This window comes from Homo sapiens, chromosome 7, assembly GCF_000001405.40.
Source record: "Homo sapiens chromosome 7, GRCh38.p14 Primary Assembly".
In the NCBI taxonomy this organism is placed as follows: domain Eukaryota; kingdom Metazoa; phylum Chordata; class Mammalia; order Primates; family Hominidae; genus Homo; species Homo sapiens.
The window spans coordinates 85,921,451-85,929,449 of record NC_000007.14 but is presented as its reverse complement, the minus strand read 5'-3'; the positions used below and the strand labels follow the sequence as shown (position 1 = coordinate 85,929,449).

The 7,999-nt window shown below is 34.1% G+C and overlaps 1 annotated feature.

Moving 5' to 3' along the window:
- Nucleotides 434-981: an enhancer, noted in NCBI's record as "OCT4-NANOG hESC enhancer chr7:85557785-85558332 (GRCh37/hg19 assembly coordinates)". NCBI's record gives its function as "activates a minimal SCP1, AML or CMV promoter by ChIP-STARR-seq in naive H9 embryonic stem cells {active_cell/tissue: H9 hESC(naive)}" and the evidence as "EXISTENCE:reporter gene assay evidence [ECO:0000049][PMID:30033119]".

The following is a 7,999-nucleotide window of genomic DNA, read 5'->3' as shown; positions in this document are numbered from 1 at the left end:
TAAAATAAAAAGGAAGCTGGTCAAAAGGAAGGTGTGGACTAACCCACATTTCTACCTCTCTAAGACCCATTCAGATGAGGCAGCATCATATCAGGGGTAGCAGCATCCTGAAATTCCCAGAGGAAAGGCCGTAATGTAAGCAGTGTTGGTGGTTCTAGTGAACAGGAGGAGGAACATCTATCAACTGGTTGAATCTAGAGCAAATGTAAAAATAGATTTTATCTATTCCATTATACTGGGAAAAAAGTAACCTTTATATGGTGAAAGAAGACACATTGCTGATACCTGGATTTTTTGTAAGGAAAACAAAGATGTACTTAAGTGTGTATTGCTGAATAAAATTAAAGAGTTAATAGCTAGTAATCTTTAAGTGAACATAGTCATAATAGGGTTGTGACATGCATTTTAACAATTCCATATTGGGTACTGAGAAAAAACTTTAGTCAAGGGATGCTTAGAAAATAGATTTTGCTGTCCCATTATCAAAATTTTTCCCATCCCTTACTTTGATGCATCCAATTAAATACCTTATCAAATGGTCAAGTCCTTGGATGAAGATTGGCATTGTAAATGCAGAGAAATCTCAGTCACTAAGGTTGAAATTGATTCAAGTTCCGATTTTCAGAACTTTTTTCAAGTGCATTCCATAGCTCTAGTTATTTCTGTTCCTATTTGTTATGCACAGATCTTTGCAAATTCTAGAACTCCAGGAGGTAGAACTCCCCCCCAGTTCTGCTAGCTGCAGCTGCCCGTAAATACCAAGGAACTTATGAATCTAAATGCCTGCTGTTGTAGGAGGGCTTATATAAGATTTCTTGGCTCTTGGTGGAAAGAGAAGAGACTCTAACTTGAGAAGAAGAGAAATACTCTCCATTTCTTCCAGTTTATCTAGCCATAATAGCCTTAGAAGTCATTTACACTATATTCTTTCTTGTGGTTGGGTTATGGAACTTACCATTTTTTTTTTTTTTTTTTCTGCAGTTTTACAGTTTAAATGTTTCAAGCATGTTTCTAATCTAGCATCAACTTCTAAAGACCCTGGAATATCTAAAGATCATATTCATTTTCAAATAAGAGAATGACTTTCCTAAAAGCTTTTAAAATAAATCATGCAGAACGAAACATGCTGTATTATCATGTCTTAATTTTCTTTAAGTTTACAAGACCTGCTTTATAATTTTTTAATGTCTGTTATTTAATCTATCAGCCATTACTTCAGTACAAACATATATACAAAGAATTTACTCATTAGAAAATAAATATTTGTTATCAGTTAGTAGTAGTTAGTATAGTAGTTCTGGATACAGTAATGATTTTTTAGAAGCTCATCTTTTGGGGAGAGATGGAAACACATTAATAAATTTTACATTACAATGTAATGCATTATCATAAATACACATTATAGTAGCTGTAAGTATCCAGAGAAGGAAATACCTAACCGTTAAGCAGGTGTGGAGAACAGGGTATGATTATGATTTTTGTTTTAGAATATCTTTGAACAGAGTTATAACATTGATATACACAGCTCACCTATTTTCATAAAAACAAACAAGCCAAAAAGGAAACTAAAACATGAAATAACAGAATCCAATACTCTAATTCAAGAGATACTGTCTTGGTTAGTGTGTAAAATTGGGAAATCAGCTATAAAACCAATGTCTTTCAAGCTGAGACAAATCTGCCAAACCATATGCCATCAGTGTTTTACATAGAGTAGCTATCTTACCAAATCTCATGAGAGAAGCCTCACTCTATTCTCTCAAACGTTTTTAAACTAAAAGGGATTACCTGATCTTTAAGCCCTGACATCAATGACCACAGCTTTGGTACTTGTTCAGGTATATTTTCAATCAAATTGTAAATATAGGGTGTATAGAAAAGAGTTAACACCCAGATCTGACTGGTCTCCTTTGAAAGGCCTGCTTACAAGATTGGCCTTTGGCTGGCATAAGAGAACTTAGATTTTGGGAAGGTTCCCAACATTAATCTACAAGAGTGGTTCACTGTGTCTAAACTGTTTGAGCAAACAATATTGTTTATATAGAACACCTGATTCTATTCTGGGAGATGAGATTTGTGTGCTTACCAGGCGAGACTATCTATGTGATCAGCCTCCAGTGAAAACTCTGGCACTGAGTGCCTAATGAACTTTCCTACTTGGCGACATTTCACATCTGTGCTCACCACTTGTTACTGAGCTAAGTATATCTGGTGTGACTCCCGTGGAAGAGAATCTTTGGAAGCTGGATTCTGGTTTCTCCTAGACTCCATCTATGAGACTTTTCCCTTTATTATTGTTCTTGGTATTCTTTTACTTCAATAAATCATAGCTGTGAGCATAACTATTTGCTATGTTCTCAAAGTTCTCCTAAGGAATTATCACACCCCAGGATGATCTTCAAGACCGCCAAGAAATAAAGTGTATATTACATTGAAATAATTATATTTTGACACTCTCTCTAAAGTTTTACCCAAAGGAAACTCATAATATAGAAAAACTATATGCAACGGGGGAGAGCTCTTGCTTCACAGAGAACATAAAGGGGTTCAACTAGTTTCCCAAAAGTAGTTAGATTTCTACAAAATCAAACATTTAAATTGACAAATTATATATAAATATATATTATACATATGTGTATGCATGTGTGCTACAATCAAGCTATTAACTCATAAAGAAAAAAATGCCACTGTGACTTTCTAACCTATAGTTAATAGAGTTTAAACTCTTTAAGCACAGAGAATACCACTTTTTCTAGCCCCAGTCCTCACTAACACTAGTGAGTAAACTGTAACAGTCACTTAGTTGTCTTCAGAAAAGTCATACATTCCAATGGCCACATTTGTAGCTCAAGTTTAAGATTTTGGAGTAGATAATTTTCGGTATGCCTTTTTTCTGAAATTCCAGTTGTTTTGTGAATAAAAGTGCCCTTGATGTTAACTCTGTTTTCTGTTTTTTCATAAGGTTTGACTTGACTGACCCAGTTGACATGTGGGTGATCCTGTTCTCCCTCAAAGCACCATGTGTGTCCTTCTAAGCTATTCATTCTTTCACAGACATAGAATATCCCAGTGAGATAAGGAATTAATTATCTTTTGGTGATATATCAGTCTAGGTCCAGTGAAGGAAAGAGAGCAACTAGAGGAATTAGACAAATAAAGAAGTTTAATGGAAGGATTAGAGCTTATCCATATGTGGGAAGGACTGAGGAACTGTGGGAGTGGTCATCTGGAAGGAAGGAATGGGAAGATTGTAGAAGAGCCATGAAAGACTTCAGCCTGAGGGACAGGACAGGATGGAGAAAGCACCAGTTTTGAAGTGGGAGCTTGTGGAGAGGTCTGCACTGCTCTAGCCACTATGACCTCCTCAAAGAGTGGCTCTGCTTCACTTTCTTTTTCCAAAACTCGATATCTTTCTCCCACTTAAACAATGTGCACATGTACCCTAAAACTTAAAGTATAATAATAATAATAATAATAATAATAAAGAAAAAAACTCTAATGATGAGCCATGTAAGAAGAGAAATAATGGGACATTCAATTCCTAGCCTTAGAAAGAGTGTCAGGGGTACCTGGTTGAAAATTAGGAAGCTCTGCAAGGCTGTAAACACATAAAAGACTTCCAGAAACCTATGAATCTGTATTTTTCAATAATGTTTCAGTACACTTGATGAGGCTGTAACATTAATCACTTTTCCAGTGATATCTGTGGTTTGTGCTACGTTAAAAAAAGGAGGGGGGGAATCAGATTTTCAAAGGTTTATTAAAAAGCTTTTTTTAAAAAAGATAAATTTTATTTGACCTGAATAAATATATCTAAAAGTGGCAGCCCAATATCTGTTGTATATTACAAAGATAATGTTGTATTGAGTTACTGTGAAAATGAAATGGAAGTCTCATAAAATTATTGCTACAGTTCAAATTGAACTGTCACTTATCCATGATCAGCATAGTAAACTATTAATTGATATTATGCCTCTATTTAAGTGATCTGACATTTAGATATCCTTGCCCACTGAAAAGCTTATTTTGCACATAAATTTTTCTTCAGCCATTCTTACACTTATCAGTTTTTAAGCTAATTGATGAATTTTTCAGTTTATTATAAAATTGTGGTATCAAATTTTTAAAGACGTCATATTTTTAAGTTCTAATTAAAAAATTAGTTTTCCATGTAGGATTTCTCCAGGTTCTGAAGCTGCAAGCCTCAAGCCTCAAAATATATGCTTTATTATATTTATCAATAGAAATAATTTAGAAGGAAGTATTACTAGCCATGTTTGTGTTGTAAACAGTTTTCCAAATTTCTCTAACTGTATTAAATTTTTACAGTACAAAAGTGTTACATATAAGATCAGTATGACAAACAAATCTATTTATGAAATGAGTAACTAATAATTTGGGTCAAGTAACCTACCTAGGGCAAGAATTACAATGACCTGGATTTGCAATATGAGTACAGCAAATGTAGGAATGCTTGCAATTGTGATGATTGTGCTCAGCCAAGGTCAGAAACGCTGTAAATAGGAGCTGACATCCTTATTGTAAAAATCAATGTTCCTGCTCATAAGCTAAGTGAAGATGTTTAAAGTAGAGAGACGATCAAAAGGATGAGTGCCTGTGAACTTTAAATACATTGTGAAACCTCGAGTCATTCTCTTCATTTGATTCCCTGGATAAATACTTCTGAGCAACATGTATGTTTTTCTTCTTATCTCTGAGGTTCTGATTTTGCTTAATATACTGATTGTATCTTCACTAGTTTTTTCATTTTAAAAACCTACATATTAAAGGAAGATAATATTATCTCGAATACAGTACAATACTGTATTCAGTCCATGTAATATTTCAGTCCATATAATAATATTTCATTTTTTTGTAGAGATAAGGTCTTGCTTTGTTGTCCAGTCTGATTTCTAACTCCTAGCCTCAACTGTATTTTTGCCTCAGACTCCCAAAGTGCTGGGATTACGGGTGTTTGCCACCATGCATGGCCAATAATATTAAAATTATTTAATATTATAGTAAACCTAAGACTATTCTTATTTTTTATTCATTTATGACATGGCTGTTTAGTCAATCTGAAAGATAATCATACGAAAACACAATTGTTTTATTAAATGCTATGTAAGCAGAGGAAGAGACCATTACAGAGGAATGTCTAATGTTGACATATGGGAGAAGAGCACATTAGGTAACATTTACTAAAAGAGATGATATTTACTCTGAGTCTTAAAAGGTACACAAAATGATGAAGCATGGGCAAAGCAGAAAAGCAGATGATGCAAAGAATAGAGCATTCAGAATGTGAAGGGCTAAGACTTCTATAAGTACATCAGCTTTGCTGGAACAATGGCAGAAATGGTGACAGGAATCACGCCTGATTACTAAGGAAAGAGACAAATCATGAAAGGCCTTGGATTTTATTTTGAGAAGTTTAGGTTTCTTTTTAAAATGATAAAAAGTCACCTAAGAATCTTGCATAAAAGAATATAAGTATTAACTATTTACATTAAAAATAATTAACAATTTTTCTGAGAACACATTTAAAATTAGGCCAAAAAATGTTAAAAGACTGTCAGAGTAATCCAGTAGAAAAATATTACTATGAACCTAAAGTCAAAAGAGAAAAATTAATACATATTTAAGACATAAAATACACAGGGTTTGACTGGGTCGGGAATCAGGGAGAGACAAAAGATGAATCTTATATTATCCTCAATTTTTTTGTGTGTTTGGCTGGATAGAGCACGGTATTATTGTAAAGACCTGGCCTAGAAATAGATTTGGTGAGAAGAGGAGGAGGCTTTTGTGTGATAAATTTGGGATGTCCATGTGGAGGTAGTCAATAAATGGTTATATAAATAGGCCTGGAGCTCAAGTAAGTTTTCAAGGAAAATGTTGACTTGAGAATCATCAACATAGTGATAAAGTAATGGTTCCACACAATCAGGCTTTGAGTAGTGTATTTCCTAACTCCCTGAATAGACAGCAACATTTTTTAAACCTGTTCACAAACTAGTAAACTTTATAGTCCTCCCCTTACATCAACTTATAGCCAAGCATCTTCCCCACATCTACATATAGAGCCTTACATCTCCCCCACACATCAAAATTCACACCACACAGTATGATTTTCCAGAGTTATGTAAAACTCAAAAACCAATGGCACATTTTGCCCTTAAAATTTTCTTTATAGGAAAAATTGGTCAGAATGTTTAACAACTCAAATTTACAAATGACTAAAAACTTTCCAAAAGCAGAGATGATTTCAATTAAAAGGTGTCATAGGTCTTGGGACTTTAATGACAGATTAGAGTTCCACAAAGAGCAACTCATTTAACAGACTAATAAGATACTTTGAATTCCCTCATATAAAATGAGGTGCTAGGAATAGTTCAACTCTAGGATTCACTCCCAACACTAAATTCCAAAATTAAATTAGAGTACTATGTAAACAATTCATTTCTATTGTATGTGCAATACGGTTTATGCAAATTATAATATGTGCATATTTTTTCCTGCATTAGATTTATCGACGTAACATAGCTATCTGAGGAAATCAACTTACTAAAATATGTTTTTTAAAAAACACTTAGCTGGGCACGGTGGCTCACACCTGTAATCCCAGTACTTTGGGAGGCCGAGGAGGGTGTATCACCTGAGGTCAGGAGTTCAAGACCAACCTGGCCAATATGGCAAAACCCTGTATCTACAAAAATACAAAAAATTAGCCAGGTGTGGTGGTAGGCACCTGTGATCCCAGCTACTGAGGAGGCTGAGGCAGGAGAATCGCTTGAGCCCAGGAGGCAGAGGTTGCAGTAAGCTGAGATCTCACCATTGCGCTCTTGCCTGGGCAACAATAATGAAACTCTGCCACAAAACAAAACAAAACAAAACAAAACAAAACAAACAAACATAAAAACTTAAAACTATTATTGAATTTGTCAATTTAGACTATAAAGCAACACATTATAGATATGAATACCCCATATTTTTATCAATTATACTTTCAATAATGTCTAAGAAAGTAGTTTCAGTCTAACACAATAGAAACTATTTGTGCATCATTAAAAGAAATGTGTTACAAATGAAAGGAGAGTATGTTTACAAGTTTAATTACAAATTCTCTGTTTTGAATTTATCGATGATTTATTTCATAAATGGCATACAGATTCAAAATTATTTGGGCCCTAAAACTAATGCTTAATTAAGTTCAATGAGCATTGTAACAGTTTAATATGTATATATTTTTCCATTCAAAATAGCATATATTCATTGAACTCACATATGGTTTTATTTAACACCATCACAGTTAAAAACAATAACACTCTCAAAAACAGCACTCTCTCTAACTTATTCACACATATTCACAACCACCCACAGACATGCACAACTTGTACATGCATAAACACTCCCATTCATGTGAGCTCTTTCCCGTACATGTGTGCACACACACACACATACACACACCACACACTCGGGATTTTCTTTCTCCTGCTATTGCACTCAACATTTCATATTCAAAATATATGGCAGAATGAGTAGTCCAGCCTCAGTAGTAAACAAAATTATTGTATAGAAAGAGCAATTGTCCTCAATCCTTGGATCTTTTCTTATGCTGGCAAAACAGTCTCGACAACTTCAAATAAATAAATGAATGACATTTTTAACTATCCAAGATTTTTTGACTAAGATCAAATGTGCTAAAAATAAGGTTTGCTTAATTTTTCAGAATTCAGTTTTAACTCTGCAATATATACTGTGGACTCCAAAATCTCTAAAATAGTTCCTCAACCATCAGCAAAAACCTCACCCTTATCAAACAGTCTTAATTTAGATGGGGATGCCTTTGAAGCCACAAACTTTCCATAGGTTAAAACCTACTCATTCTTTCTGAAGTTTTTTTGTTGTTGTTGTTCCTCCTAGTGAAGTTTATTCTCTTTGCTGAGGCAAACATAGAAAAATTAAGAAACAGTATCTAAACTGATATCTGACACCT